The sequence below is a fragment of the Homo sapiens genome, chromosome 2 (genome assembly GCF_000001405.40).
Source record: "Homo sapiens chromosome 2, GRCh38.p14 Primary Assembly".
NCBI classification, from domain to species: Eukaryota; Metazoa; Chordata; class Mammalia; order Primates; family Hominidae; genus Homo; species Homo sapiens.
Genome location: NC_000002.12, coordinates 106446607 through 106462831, shown reverse-complemented (window position 1 = coordinate 106462831; position 16225 = coordinate 106446607). Strand labels below are relative to the sequence as shown.

At 39.6% G+C, this 16225-nt stretch overlaps 1 protein-coding gene across 5 annotated transcripts in view; it reads left to right on the top strand.

Moving 5' to 3' along the window:
- The window catches only part of RGPD3 (RANBP2 like and GRIP domain containing 3), a 67530-nt gene that overhangs the window by 8104 nt on the left and 43201 nt on the right, over window positions 1-16225 (top strand). For 3 of the 5 annotated variants that reach the window (XM_017004738.2, XM_017004739.3, XM_047445567.1), the window contains exons 2-8: window positions 3500-3567; window positions 4680-4722; window positions 5154-5265; window positions 5709-5861; window positions 9906-10136; window positions 10482-10627; window positions 15219-15414. In XM_017004738.2, the coding sequence (XP_016860227.1) occupies window positions 3500-3567; window positions 4680-4722; window positions 5154-5265; window positions 5709-5861; window positions 9906-10136; window positions 10482-10627; window positions 15219-15414 (949 nt within the window). The remainder of the gene's footprint in view (window positions 1-3499; window positions 3568-4679; window positions 4723-5153; window positions 5266-5708; window positions 5862-9905; window positions 10137-10481; window positions 10628-15218; window positions 15415-16225) is intronic. The other 2 variants (NM_001144013.2, XM_017004740.3) reach the window with 1 other exon arrangement.

The window sequence follows — 16225 nt, the reverse complement described above, 5'->3', positions numbered from 1 at the left end:
TTGTTGGGACTCCACAGATTTGGAGCTGATCAGATGGGTTTGTTGAGAACAGCAGCTTTTTTGGAGGATTTTAGGGGGAGGGAGATTCATTTGACTGTGCAAGATGGGTGACAGAGCGAGACTCCGTTTGAATTTAAAAAAAAAGAGAAATTCAGAACTGCATAATGAAAAAGTAGGCCACAAATGTTAAGTTTTGGACAATTACAATTACATCTCTATCTTACTGTGCAAGATAGCGATGATGTGGCATCTCTTAGGGTCTTACTGTTCCTGTTTTCAGCCCTGCATCAGTTCTTGATATTTGGCAGCTTAAGTGAATTCAGGTATTTGCTTATAGTGACATCTGCTGTCATGCAAAGAAGTACTGCTTGAATCAGATATTGTCCTGTTTACATAACATGGGCTGTGCTCCTTCCTAGCTATATATCTTTAAACAAGGCATTTGCCTGCTTGAGCTTCAGTTCCCTTGTAAAGTGAGCAGGTTAGAGGCAAAAGATCATACAGAAGAATAATTTGTAAAGTTGTTTAATTATCTTAAGATTGTCTACTTTAATAACATAGTTGGAAGCAAAGAAGGTAATGGAATTATTTTTCTATTATGTTTTGGCATTGTACCTTGAATCTATTTCTTCATTTTGAAAAGGGGGAACTGGCCGGGCTCCGTGGCTGACGCCTGTAATCCCAGCACCTTGGGAGGCGGAGGAAGTCAGATTACAAGGTCGAGAGAGCGACACCATCTGGCCAACATGGTGAAACCCCATCTCTACTGAAAATACAAAAATTAGCTGGGCATGGTGGTGTGCGCCTGTAGTCCCAGCTTGTACCTGGGAGGCAGAGGTTGCAGTGAGCTGAGATCGAGCCACCGCACTCCAGCCTGGTGACAGAGCAAGACTCCATCTCAAAAAAAAAAAGGAAGGGGGGAACAAGCCTTGTTCTTTTACGTGCTGTCCTGACTGTTGTGTATTATTTTTGTTAAGATTGCTATAGTTCTTTTTTTTTTTGAGATGGAGTCTTGCTCTGTTGCCAGTGCTGGGATTGCAGGTGTTAGCCTGGCATTGAGCAACGTTTTGTAATTTAAGCATACAAGTCTCTCACCTCCTTGTTTACATTTATTCCCAGGCATTTTTTTCATTTAGATGCGATTGTAAATGGAATTGCTTTCTTAATTTCCTTTTCTGATTGTTCGTTGCTGGTACAGTAGTCCCTTCTTATCCACAGTATTGCCTTACGTGGTTTTACTTACCTGCGTCACCCGTGGTCCAAAAATATTGAATGGAAGATTATATAAATAAACATTTCATGAGTTTTAAATTGCAAACAGTTCTGAATAACATGATAAAAATTTCACGGCCTCCTGCTCCGTCCTACCTAGGACACAAGTCATCCCTTTGTCCAACATATTCATGCTGTATGTGCTCCCCACCTGCTAGTTACATACTAGCCATCTCAGTTATCAGATCAATTGTTGGAGTATTGCAGTGCTTGTGTTCAAGTAACCCTTATTTTATTTAAAATGGCACCAAAGAGCAAGAGTAGCGATGCTGGCAGTTCACATATGCCAGAGAGAAGCCATATAGTGCTTCCTTTAAGTGAAGAGGTGAGTTTTTGACTTAGGAAAGAAAAAAGATCATATACTGGGGTTGCTAAGATCTATGGTAAGAACAAATCTTTTGTCCATGAAATTGTGAAGAAAGAAAAAGAAATTTGTGCTAGTTTTGTTGTGACACCCCAAACTGCAAAAGTTACAGCCACAGTGTGTGATAAGTGCTTAGTTGAGATGGACAAGACATTAAATTTGTGGGTGGAGGACACAAACAGGAAACATGTTTCGATTGATGGCAACCTGGTTTGGTACTATTCATCGTTTTGGACATTCACTGGGGTCTTGGAATTTCAAAAATAAGATGTTTGAGTAGCTGTATACTCTGTATCACATGGATGGAACATACTCTGGTTGTATCAGCTTTTTTTTTTTTTTTTTTTTTTTTTTTATGAGATGGAATCATTCTGTTGCCCAGGCTGGAGTGCAGTGGTGCGGTCTTGGCCCACTGCTGCCTCCCGGGTTCAAGCGATTCTTTGCCTCAGCCTCCCAAGCAGCAGGGATTACAGGCGTGTGCCACCATGCCCAGCTAATTTTTGTATTTTTAGTAGAAAGGAGGTTTCTGTATGTTGGCCAGGCTGGTCTCGAACTCTTGGCTTCAAGTGATCCACCTGCCTCAGTCTCCAAAAGTGCTGGGATTACAGGTGTGAGCCACCGCACCCAGCCTGGTGTGCATCAGCATTTTGGACTTTGGAGTTTATGTAACCAAGGAGCCAGGCTGTGGACCTTGTTTATTACTTGAAGAATTCAATATTTATTTCTGCCTTTTTGACTCCTTGACTGTAAAATACTGATCTGATCTGTAGAGAGAACAGTACATGTACTATTGAGGCACAGGGAATCCTCAGTGCCTTAATAGATCCTAAGTACTTACTTATTCTTTCCCATAGAGGCTTTTACACATGGTAGGAGAAGAGATTTCTGGAATACCTTTCCTCCCCAAAGAAAGCTGGTTTCTTTTGTTTGTTAAGTGAGAGAGTGGTACCACAGGGTTTCCAAGATTTCCAAGGCTGATGAAAATTCTTAACTTCTGTTGTCTGCTTGTCTTGCTTTCTTGAATTTATTTTTTGTATGTTATGTATTTATTATTTAGAGAGAGGATCTCCCTGTGTCACCCAGGCTGGAGTGCAGTGTCACAGTCATAACTCACGGCAGTGTCAACCTCCTGGGCTCAAGTGATTCTCCTTCCTTGGCCTCCTGAGTAGCTAGGAACACAGGCATGCTCCACTATGCCTGGCTATTTTTTTCCCCCTGGAGACAGGATCTTGTTGTGTTGCACAGGCTGGTTTCAAACTCTTGGCCTCAAAGCTAGCCTCCCACCTTGGTCTCTGAAAGTGCTAGAATTAAATAGAATTAAAGTTGTGACCAACTGCACCCAGCTTATTTATGATGATGATGATGATGATGTTTGGGAGATGGAGTCTCTGTCGCCCAGGCTGGAGTGCAATGGCACAATCTCAGCTGACTGCAACCTCTGGCTCACTGCAACCTCCACCTCCTGGGTTCAACTGATTCTCGTGCCTTAGCCTCCCGAGTAGCTGGGATTACAGGCACCCGCCATCATGCCTGGCTAATTTTTCTATTTTTGTAGAGACGGAGTTTCACCATGTTATAACGCCAGGCTGGTCTCAAACTCCTGACCTCAGGTGATCCGCCCACTTCGGCCTCCCAAAGTGCTGGGATTACAGGCATGAGCCGCTGCACCCAGCTCTATTTTTTGTTTTGTGATAGGAAATTATAAAACATGGAATTATGCATTTGTCAGGCTTTAAAAAAAACTTTTAAGTGAATGAAAATGGCATATTTGAACATAAACTTAGGGCAGATTTTTACTACTTTTGAAAAAATGTTGGAAAATATTTCTGTATGAAACGTAAAACAACTTTTAATTTTTTTTAGAAGTCAACGAGAGGATTCTATTTTGCAAAGCTGTATTATGAAGCTAAAGAATATGATCTTGCTAAAAAGTAAGTACAAACTGTAACATGTATTCTTTTTTTAAAATCAATGCCTTTTCTCATTTTCTTCTTTGAAATAGGTAAAAATATATCCTTAGTAGTTCTTCCTAAGTGTATTCTGGAATAAGGGATTTATCACTCAGACTGATGCTAAGGACCAGCCTAGATTCCATTGAGATTGAAACCGTAATTAGTGTTTTCTGCATGCTGCTGCTTTATACCAAGGGCAAGAAATTGTTTGGCTTAAAACACTTTTTCTAAAAATTGTCTTCTGTTGAAGTAAAAGAGGACCATGCCTATATCTTAATTTGTTTTTGGTTAGATATCTGATACCTTAATCAGATGGAAAATAGCAATGAATAAAAAATTAAACTGTAATTGTAAGGCAGGAGAATAGCTTGTATAAAAGATGTTTAATTGACACAATATGTGATGCTCTAAGGCTCTATCCTAGGGATAAGAAGCTTGGTGATTCTGATTTCCTGACTGGGAGTGGATTAAAGCAGGAAATTAAGAGGGAGGCAGGCTTTTTTTTTTTTTTTTTTTAGGCAGTATCTGTCTCTCTTGCTCAGGCAGGAGTGCAGCAGCTGGCTCCATCTTTGCTCACTGTAACCTCTGCCTTCTGGGCTCAAGAGATCTTTACACCTCAGCGCCCCAAGTAGCTGGGGATACAGATGCGCACCACCACGTGGACCTGGCTAAGGTTTGCATTTTTTGGTAGAGACAGGTGTCACTATGTTGCCCAGGCTAGTCTTGAACTTCTGAGCGCAGCAGTCTGCCTGCCTCGGCCTCCCATAGTGTTGAGACTACAGGTGTGTGTTACTGCTCCCAGCTGGGAGGCAGGCTTTTAAAGGCATCCAAAGGAAGATGGAAATGCTGGTAAGAAAGGAAAATGGTGGTACATAAATTATGTAACTAGCAGCACTGTGACTGTTAACTCTTGTACCTTTTTACTGTGAGACTTTAATCCCTTAGTTTAGGTCTGGCCTCATTTCTCTGATGGTAATACTGTCAAGGAACCTAGAGGATATTTACTTATTTTAGTTGTTACTTGATTTGAGAAATGGAAATTTCCTGTATTTGGTACTGTAATTAGTAATTTTTCTTCTGTTCGATTTTAGCTGGATATATAGTACTGTTAGAAATTACTTTCTTGCTTAAAGGGTAAGTGTATTTCCCTTTGTTGTTTGGGAAATTGTTGCTGTTTAGTATTTTGCATTATGATAACTTTAAAAATGTTTACTATAATCACTTCTAATTTATTTGCAAAACTGTTAGTGCTTTATTAAAATGTGATCAGGAAGAAAAAGCAATTTATATGTTCATTTCTTATGTGTGGATAACACTGGAGAAAAATTTGGTAAATGTGACATTTAATGGTAAAATGAGTATGTGGTCAACTCTATGTATGTGTTTTTAAGTATTACCCATTTCTTTCTATGAATACTTTTGAGTTATCTGTATGAATAGTGGTAGTTTTGAGTAACAATATAAACGAGTTTAGTGGTTGCTTTGGTTTAAGATGTATTCTTCGGTTAGCATTTAAAAGTACAGTTCTAAGTTTAATTTACTTTTGTATTACTTTTAAAAAACAGATACATATGTACTTACATTAATGTGCGAGAGATGGATCCCAGAGCTCACAGATTTCTGGGTCTTCTTTATGAATTGGAAGAAAACACAGAGAAAGCCGTTGAATGTTACAGGGTAAGTTATAGGATTCAAATATAGCCTTTGCATAGCCAAACACATGATGCCCAGAGAAATTTATATAAGTAAGTCAAATATATTTTATGAATATCATAAAACAGGCATTGGTATCATAGTACAGTTATGTGACACAGCTTGGAACAGATTTAGAATTGTTTAACACCTATAAATTGTAAGTCTAACACGGTCAGAAATGGTGTTCTTTTGTGTTTTTTGCATTCAAATGACACAAATATAATCTTTATTTGGTTCATTTCCAGAAAATTCCAAGACACTTTTATTTGAACACCTTTGAAGTAATATGTTTTCTCCAGAAGTAGAATTTTTTAAGGGTTGGAGTGATAATTTTTAACCTTTATATATAAGTATATAAGTATATATACTCCTACATACATACATACAATTTATTTACTAATCTTTAATTTCTTTTCTGATATTAGCGTTCAGTGGAATTAAACCCAACACAAAAAGATCTTGTGTTGAAGATTGCAGAATTGCTTTGTAAAAATGATGTTACTGATGGAAGAGCAGAATACTGGGTGGAAAGAGCAGCAAAACTTTTCCCAGGAAGTCCTGCAATTTATAAACTAAAGGTAAACAAACAAAACATAAAGGGAGAAAACTTAAGACATAACCATTTCTAATATTTGGAGTTTAAATTACTTTTCAATAGCAAACCTTAAGCCCAGGTGTTTGTGTTTCCTTTAACATTTTTCTTTTAAAAAGTGTATTAAAACCTTTCTCAGCATCTACTGTCTTATTAGGCATTGTTATACTTTATAAGTGACATCTCATTTACCCTTCTGGAATAATTAATATTTTAGGGATTTTACAGTTTAGTAGCTGTAAACTAAGTAGAGCTAAGATTTACATTAAGTTCTGTCTAGTATACAATTTTTGCTTCATTAAGTGAAAATTACCTACAGGATGACAATTTAGGGATATTTTAAAGAAGTGTTTTCTAATAACTATTGTCTGAAAGTGGAAGGGATTGTATTTTGAGATAGTAAGGTTTTCAAGCAAAAGATAAAAGGTGGTTTCTCTAGTATATAAGACGTAATTACTAAAAATGGTAGGAAGTTCTTGCTAGTGTGTTGACTGGTCCTGATATTCTTTATAGAGTAAAATATAGTTTACTAAGTAACTGTTCTGGAGAAAATCTACACAAATATGTTTGGCAAACATTTAAAATGTATATTGTAATGTTTTATCTATTAATGTATACTTTATTGTGTATGTACAATATAAAATTATAAATGTATATTTGCCTTTAGCCTCCTCCTACCCCCATTATATATGTTTCTGATAGAAATTTAAAAAATTTTAATTTTGAAATAATTATAGATTTTTTTGCACAGGAAGTTGCAAAGATTGCACAGAAAGATCCTATATGCTACTTCATTTTCCCCCAATGCTTATACAGGTTGAGCATTTAAAATCCGAAATCCTAAACGCTCCAAAATCTGAAATTTTTTGAGCACTGACATGATGCTCAAAGAAATGCTCATTGGAAAATTTTGGATTTCAGATTTTCAGATTTGGGATGCTCTGCCTGCTAAGTATCCTGCAGATATTCCAAAGTCTGAAAAAATTCAAAATCTGAAATACTTCTGGTCTCAAGCATTTTGGATAAGGGATACTCAACCTGTTTAACCCGCCCAAAGCACAATATCAAAATCAGGAATTTTGACATTGGTACAATGTGTATGTATAGTTTTCTTTCATTTTATCACGTGTAGATTCATACCACCACTGCCGTCAAGATACAGAACTACTCTATTACCACAGAGATCTTCCTCATGCTGCCCCTTTTGTAGTCATGCTATTTACTTCTCTTCACTATGCCTGACCTCTGGCAACATTAATCTGTTCTCCATCTTTATACTTTGGTGATTTCAAAATGTTATGTAAATGTCATCATGAAATGTGTGACTTTTTTTTTCTTTTTTCATTGTTTTTGAGACGGAGTCTCGCTCTGTTGCCCAGGTTGGAGTTCACTGGCGCAATCTCGGCCCACTGCCACCTCCGCCTCCCAGGTTCAAGCAATTCTCCTGCCTCAGCCTTCCGGGTAGCTGGGACTACAGGCACATGTTACCGTGTCCCGCTTATTTTTGTATTTTTAGCAGAAACGGGGTTTCACCATGTTGGCCTGGCTGGTCTCGAACTCCTGACCTCATGTGATCTGCCCACCCCAGCCTCCCAAAGTGCTAGGATTACAGGCGTGAGCCACCGCGCCCAGCCAAGCATGTGACCTTTTGAGGTTGGCTTGTTCAGTCAGCATAATACCATTTGTGATCCATATTAAGTTTTGTATATCCATAGTTGGTTCCTTTACTTCTGAGTAGTATTTCATGGTCCACAATTTAACCTTTCACTTTTTTTATTTCTATTTTTTTGAGACAGAGTCTTGCTCTGTCGCCCATGCTGGAGTGCAGTGGTGCTATCTCGGCTCACTGCCACTTCTGCCTCCCGGGTTCTCAGGTGATCCACCCACTTTGGCCTCCCAAAGTGCTGGGATTACAGGTGTGAGCCACTGTGCCCAGCCTTAACCATTCACTTTTGAGGGGCATTTTGGTTATTTCTAGGTTTTGGCTATTGTTCAACTGCTATGAACAATCATGTCCAGATTTTTGAAGCTGAAAAAGCATTGAAGATGCTTCCAAAGATAAATATTACTGATAAGTTTTTCTCCCCAGTAATAAGCAGCTGGATTTTAAATATTAGTCTAAAACATGAGGTCTAATTGTGCAGATTTCTTTACTCTCTTAGGTGTTATGCCTCAAACATAACTCCCATATTGGGCGTGGCAATCCAGTTAATCTGGTGTCAGTAGTGTTAAAGAACATATGTAATGGCAGGAGATTCTTTTCTTGCAGTGTAACAAGTTAGATACTTTGAAGCATTCTTTAAAGATTTTCTTTAATAACTTGAAGGCACTGTTACACCTTTCCTGTATCAGATTTTTTTTTTTGGAATTGAAATCCATGAGATTTATAACTGTCATGCAAAGTAATTCCATTTCTCCTAAAATTTAAGGCTTGCTAAGGTAAACAGTTTCTGACATTTGTTTAATGAATGGGAGTATTACTGTTGAGAAGGCTTTTTCTCTCAAGTATGAGATAGAACTTTTTAAAAGCACTCATAGTGGTTTTTAAAAAAATGTTTAACATAGAGTCAAAGACTAGGGCTTTTGCAATAGGGAGAGGCCAGGGTTTCATCCATCTCATCCAGAAGAGGAGAAATTGATAAAGGAGAGAGGGGAATGAAATACAGAGTACTAATGGGCGGCTTGGTCTTGAGAGTTGGGGAAAGACGAGTTTAAGTAGGTAAGGTAAAATGGAATTTATATGTGATAGCATCAGGTTTCTCAGTGAAGGATGAATCTAGGTTATAAGTTGAAAGTGAGGGTCAAAGGAAGGTATGGGGAAGTTGAGGAAATAGGAGGAGGTGTGAAGTGTCAGGGAGTGGAGAAAGTGAGTCTGTTAGTACTAAAATGGTATTTTGTTTTAGGCAGCACCAGTTTGATGGTTGAGATAATGCAAATGAAATCAGTTAGCTTGGGGTTATGATTTCCCAAATCTAAGCACACAGAAACCAGTTGGGAGGGTTCTGAGGAAAAGAGGGAATTAGTTGAAGGGATCTGTAAGCAAACAGTAATTATGGATATAAGGGATTATAGCATTTTTTGCCTGACAGAAGAAAGTGTGTGTATTTATATGTGTTTACAGGTGTTTAAAACTTGATGATGTTATTGTCTTGAAGGGAGCTTGTCATGTGGTATTTCTGAAAGTAAGGGTATGTAGGCCCTCAGTGAGGTGGAAGAATAAGAAGGATGGTATGGTGGTTTCGGTGGTATGACCAAAATGCAGATTTTGAAGACCTGTGTCAGTGGCAAGTGGATGGTTGAGGTTGGAGTGGAGGATAACATCACTGGAGATGAGGTGATTAAGGAACTGAGTAGTCAGCCTGGGCAACACGGCAAGACCCCATCTCTACAGAACGTTAAAAAAAAATTAGCCGGGCATGGTGGTGCATGCCTATGGTCCTAGCTTCTTGAGAGGCTGATGGAAGAGCATCGCAAATGAGAAGTGAGTGGCCACAAACCCTACTTCCTCTCCTTGTATGTAAGTTCAGAGAGAAAAAGCCATCATGGTAGTGGGGGTTATCCTGAGATGATACTGTCTTCATTTAAGGTCAGGAGGTGATGACAGTGCTTTGAGATGATGATGAAGGTAACAGAACAGTGGGAGGAGAGGGGATGCGGGATTGAGTCAGATTTAAGGAGATACAGAGCAGTTTGAGCATAAGGACCTTGTTGCTGAGGATTGACTGGGGAGGTCTAGGCTTCTGATGGTGACTCAGATGGACAGGGATGTGTGGCAATAGTCCTGGTAGTCTCTGAAGAGAGTATGAGCTACCGCAGTAATCACAGATGCTTTTCTTCACATACAGTTCTTGAGGCTTAGTTTCTGGGTTGTAAGCAACTCTCAGAAGGGACGAATAAGGTATATAGGATGGTGTTTTTGGTGGCATCATCATAAAACTAGACATAGTGGAATGGTGCTTTTTGGGAGCATGACTTGTTTAAAATTGCACAAGTGTTACTCTAATAATTTTTCTTTTTCCCCTCTAAATAGGAACAGCTTCTAGATTGTGAAGGTGAAGATGGATGGAATAAACTTTTTGACTTGATTCAGTCAGAACTTTATGTAAGACCTGATGACGTCCATGTGAACATCCGGCTAGTGGAGTTGTATCGCTCAACTAAAAGATTGAAGGATGCTGTGGCCCGCTGCCATGAGGCAGAGAGGAACATAGCTTTGCGTTCAAGTTTAGAGTGGAATTCGTGTGTTGTACAGACCCTTAAGGTAGATAAAAGCTATTGGGTCTTTACATTTCTATGTAGGCAATTAGCATACATCTTTTTGTACTAAAGCAGCAGTGCCCCGCAGGACTTAAATTTCTTTTATTTAGGTAGAACAGTTATAAAACGAAATTTTTACCAGGATCAGTTGAATTTATAATGGGAAAATTGGGGAGATAACTATGATAAATGTATATATTTTTGGTGTTTTCATTTATAAGGTTGATGTAAAAATCAATGTAGTTTCACAAACGTGGTTGGAGTGAGAAAAGGAATTTGTAGGCATAAAATGGTTAATTTCTTAACACTTGATTAAGTTTTGTAACTTACTATTCATTCCACAAAATAGGAATATCTGGAGTCTTTACAGTGTTTGGAGTCTGATAAAAGTGACTGGCGAGCAACCAATACAGACTTACTGCTGGCCTATGCTAATCTTATGCTTCTTACGCTTTCCACTAGAGATGTGCAGGAAAGTAGAGAATTACTGGAAAGGTGCGTTGACTTTGAGGAGAATGCTTTAGTATAAATTGTAGTTTTTCTTTTTGCAGTAAGTTCATTGCTCTAAATTTCTTTACTGAATCATTATTTCTATAATGTACCTAGGAGTTATAGTTAATACAGTGAACCACTAGGAGGCAATCTTATTTTTCTTCTTTTACGGGGAAGTTCTAATTGGTTTTATATGACTTTCCTTTTTAGAGAACTCTTATAGTTCAAGCTTGATTAAAATTAGCCTTATGGTTAAATACTCAGTTTTGTCATAGTCAAGCTTAAAATGAATGTTCTAACTGCTATTTCATATTTTATTTTTTTATAATAGTATAATCTTGAGTGAAAATTAAAGTTCATCTGTCATCAGATGGCTAGGTTCACATGTACTAGTATAAGCACTTAGCATCACTGGTGTTTCAGAAAATACTGTTTTAGCTAAGAAACAAAATAACTGAACTATGTGATTTACCTTTTTTCCTAAATTTTGATTTTGAAAACCAGTGTCTCCATTTTGAAAATAAATTCCATTGAACAAAAACATCACTTGGATTTGTATAAAGATGTTAGTTTAGAGCAGGGGTTGTTGATTAGAACTTGTGGGCCAAATATGGCCCCTGCCTAATTTTGTTAATATTTATTGGAATGCAGCATGCCTCTGTTTATGTATTGTCTGTGGCTGCTTACATACTATAAGATTGGAGTTGAGTGGTTGCAGCAGAGATTGTATGCCTGTAAAGCCAGATTAGTAATCTTCTCCTTTTTGTAGAAAAAGTTTACTGATTGCTAGTTTAGGCTGTCCATTTGTTTGGAAGTTAATTTATTTCCCCATCTGGTATAAGGAAAGAAGTTCATTTCACTGAGTGCAGGGAGTAGGTAATTTTCTTGAAAAAGTACATAGTGACCTAAATTGGTAGGGTAAGAGCAGTATCTAAAAGAACTAACATAACTTTAAGATTATTTTAGAAAACATGTAGGATGTTTTATTTTGTGTTCTTTGTATACTCAAATTTTTTGGTCACAAGTTCCTTTTACATTTTTCTTAAGGACATCAAAGATGTTTGTATGTGGGTTCCTTTCTTTCTTTCTTTCTTTCTTTCTTTTTTGTTTTTTTTTTTTTGAGAGGGAGTCTTGCTCTGTCACCAGGCTGGAGTGCAGTGGCACGACCTTGACTCACTGTAACCTCCGCCTCCCGGGTTCAGGCGATTCTCCTGCCTCAGCCTCCCGAGTAGCTGGGACCACAGGCGCACACCACTACGCCCAGCTAATTTTTGTATTTTTAGTAGAGACGGGGTTCAGGATGGTCTCAATCTCTCTTTTTTTTTTGAGACTGAGTCTTGCTCTCGCCAGGTTGGCATGCAGTGGTGCAGTCTCAGCTCACTGCAACCTCTGCCTCCTGGGTTCAAGTGATTCTCTTGTCTCTGCCTCCTGAATAGGTGGAACTACAGGTGCCCGACACCACACCTGGCTAATTTTTTTTTTTTTTTTTTTTTTTTTTTTTTGAGACAGAGTCTCGCTCTGTCACCCAGCCTGGAGTACAGTGGCGCAATCTCGGCTCACTGCAAGCTTCACAATTTCCTCTCAATGCTCTGAATAAGAGCTTATCCTCCTGCCTCAGGTTGTTCCCCACCAGGAAGCCCCAGGAGGGCCCTGAGGACAGCCCTTGGCCCTCAGAGGGGGAGGCTCAGGAGGGGAGATGACCATGGGAATGGAGTCACTCGGGAGAATCTGGACCATGAGGGGGTGACTTGGGGGCCTGAGGGGAGGACCCTGAGGAAGATAAAAAGCTGGTGCCACCCTAGGCAGTTTCACAGTGTGGCTTAGGGCTGTGGGTGACAGATGGTTTGTCAGATCAGTTAATCAGGACTCATGGGCCCTTTGTTACCTGCCTTGTGAACCTCCCAGTATCACGCCATTCTTCTGCCTCAGCCTCCTGAGTAGCTGGGACTACAGGCGCCCACCACCACGCTCGGCTAATTTTTTTGTATTTTTAGTAGAGACGGAGTGTCACCTTCTTAGCCAGGATGGTCTCGATCTCCTGACCTCGTGATCTGCCCTCCTCGGCCTCCCAAAGTGTTGGGATTACAGGCATGAGCCACCGCGCCCAGCCCACACCTGGCTAATTTTTGTATTTTTAGTAGAAACAGGGTTTCATCATGTTGGCCAGGATGGTCTCGATCTTTTTTTTTTTGAGACGGAGTCTCGCTCTGTTGCCCAGGCTGGAGTGCAGTGGCGCCATCTCGGCTCACTGCAAGCTGTGTCTCCAGGGTTCACGCCATTCTCCTGCCTCAGCCTCCCGAGTAGCTGGGCCTACAGGTGCCTGCCACCACACCCAGCTAATTTTTTGTATTTTTAGTAGAGATGGGGTTTCACTGTGTTAGCCAGGATGGTCTTGATATCCTGACCTTGTGATCCGCCTGCCTCGGCCTCCCAAAGTGCTGGGATTACAGGCATGAGCCACCGCGCCCGGCTGGTCTCGATCTCTTGACCTCTTGATCTGTCTACCTTGGCCTCCCAAAGTACTGGAAGGTCTCAATCTCTTGACATCGTGATCTGCCTGCCTTGGCCTTCCAAAGTGCTGGGATTGCAGGTCTGAGCCACTGCACCCGGCCGTATGTGGGTTATTTCTGTCAGTGTTTATTACATTAGAAATTAAAACAAATAAAAAATGTAATCCATTAAAAATGTAATAAGCCCTATTGTGTGTTAATAATTATAGCTTTTTTTTTTTTTTTTTTTTTGAGACAGAGTTTTGCTCTTGTTGCCCAGGCTAGAGTGCAACAGTGTGATCTCGGATCACTGCAACCTCTGCTTCCCAGGTTCAAGCGATTCTCCTGCCTCAGCCTCCCAAGTAGCTGGAATTACAGGTGCCCACCACCACGCCTGGCTAATTTTTTGTATTTTTAGTAGAGATAGGGTTTCACCATGTTGGCTAGGCTGGTCTTGAACTCCTGACCTCAGGTGATCCACCCGCCTCAGCCTCCCAAAGTGCTGGAATTACATGTGTGAGCCACCGCACAGGGCCAATAATAGCATTTTTTATGAAAAATAACTATTTTCCAACAGCAAAAAAGTAGTCAGAAAAGTGTCATTGTTTTTGCATTTTTGTAAATCTTTTTAATGTCTCGCTTAATAGAACATAGCTAGATTCTCATTTACTTCCTCTTTCAGTCTGTAAAACTATTACATGTCATGAAGCCTCTAGAAAACTCAGCTCAGCGGGGCGCGGTGGCTCAGCCCTGTAATCCCAGCACTTTGGGAGGCCAAGGCGGGTGGATCACGAAGTCAGGAGATCGAGACCATCCCAGCTAACAATGGTGAAACCTTGTCTCTACTAAAAATACAAAAAATTAGCTGGGCATGTTGGTACGCGCCTATAGTCCCAGCTGCTCGGGAGGCTGAGGCAGAAGAATCGCTTGAACCTGGGAGTCAGAGGTTGCAGTAAGCCAAGATTGTGTCACTGCACTCCAGCCTTGTGACAGAGTGAGATTCTGTCTCCAAAAACAAAAACAAAAAAACTCAGCTCTACATACATGAGAAAATGAGTATGTAATATATAAATTTTTTTGGTATTATTGTAAAAGTAATTTTAGCTTCATGGATCCCCTGAAGGGGTTTTTGAGCACCCTCAGAGATCTTTAGACCTCACTTGCTCTGGTTGCTTTATTGTAAGCCACTTTAAAATCATGCTTCACGTTTAAGTGTTTGCTTTTTGCTTTTACTTTTCTTCCAAAGTGAGGATTTGGAGAAACATTAGGATTTAGAAGAACTAATTTAGAATATAGATTACAAATAATAGGCCAGGCATAGTGGCTCATGCCTGTAATCCCGGCACATTGGTAAGCTGAGGCGGGCGGATCGTGAGGTCAGGAGTTCGAGACCAGCCTGGCCAACATAGTAAAACCCTGTCTCTACTAAAAATATAAAAAAAGTTTAGCGGGGCATGGTGGCAGGTGCCTGTAATCCCAGCTACTCAGGAGGCTGAGTCAGGAGAATCACTTGAACCTGGGAGGTGGAGGTTGCAGTGAGCTTAGATCGTGCCATTGCACTCCAGCCCAGGCGATAGTGAGAGACTCCGTCTCAAAAAAAAAAAAAAAAAGACAATTTATTTAATGCTGTAATGATCTATATAGTAAAAAGAGCAATTACTGTATTGATACTCAAATACCTGTCAATTATTTACTTATAATTTGGAAATGCTATGTCTAATTTGAGAAATTACAACTGTTAATTAAATAATGAAATTATATGATCAGGAAGAAACTACAAAATAGTCTCCCAACTTTATCCTGGTTTATTTTGAAATGTGCGCCTATAATCACTGATCTTATATTTATCCTGTGATTGGAGGGCTGGAAATAACTGGGAATAAGACATCATTTGAGAGGTTAAGCATGAAGTATAGGAAGTATGCAGGATAAAAATAAGCATTAGATGATTCATAATTTATAACACGGGGAATAAGAATTATTAGAAGTTGAATGTGGAAGATGAAGCTTGAAATAAAATTTTTATTTTGTTTTGAATTAAATGAACCATGATTATTCACAGTGCAGTAAGTGTGTATCATCTGTTTGATATTTTCATATTACAGTTTTGATAGTGCTCTTCAGTCTGCGAAATCTTCTTTGGGTGGAAATGATGAACTGTCAGCTACTTTCTTAGAAATGAAAGGACATTTCTACATGCATGCTGGTTCTCTGCTCTTGAAGATGGGTCAGCATGGTAATAATGTTCAATGGCGAGCTCTTTCTGAGCTGGCTGCATTGTGCTATCTCATAGCATTTCAGGTAAGTCTTCCACTTGGAGCAATTGACATTTCACGGAGTCTTGATGTGTTTTAAATGAAGGTGTGCTCTGGTATGTAATGACAATATGTGAACAAACCTGTGGAATTAAAGTTGAAATGAAATAGTCAATTTGATACAGTGGAAAATAACTAAGCATACACAATACTGGTGAGGCTGGTGAAACAGGGATGTTGAGTGCACTCTTGTCGAAAGCCTGCATTGCCATGATTTGTTTGTAGACAAATTTGAAGAGTTTGATCTTTTTACTCTGCCATTTTTGGGAACATGATAAAGATGTAATCTCGTATGATGGGTAAACTTGATTCAAAAAGATGTGTTACTTGGACAAAATCCTAATAAGTAGATGTAGGGCAATGGCTTTATAGCCTATGATAGAAGAATATGATTGCAGTTTAACATGTTAATTGAAACACATGTATATAACATTTATGACTGTATTGTGTATATGTAACAGTATATCTATTAATCTTTGAAAACATAAAACCTTTTCTTATTTTTTATTTTTTTATTTTTTTTGAGACCAAGTCTCTCTCTGTCGCCAGGCTGGAGTGCAGTGGCGTGATCTCGGCTCACTGCAGCCTCCACCTCCTGGGTTCAAGTGATTCTCCTGCCTCAGCCTCCCGAGTAGCTGGGACTACAGGCCCGTGCTACCAAGCCCAGCTAATTTTTTGTATTTTTAATAGAGATGGGGTTTCACCATGTTGGCCAGGATGGTCGCAATCTCTTGACCTCGTGATCTACCTGCCTTGGTCTCCCAAAGTGCTGGGATTACAGGCGCGAGGCACTGCGC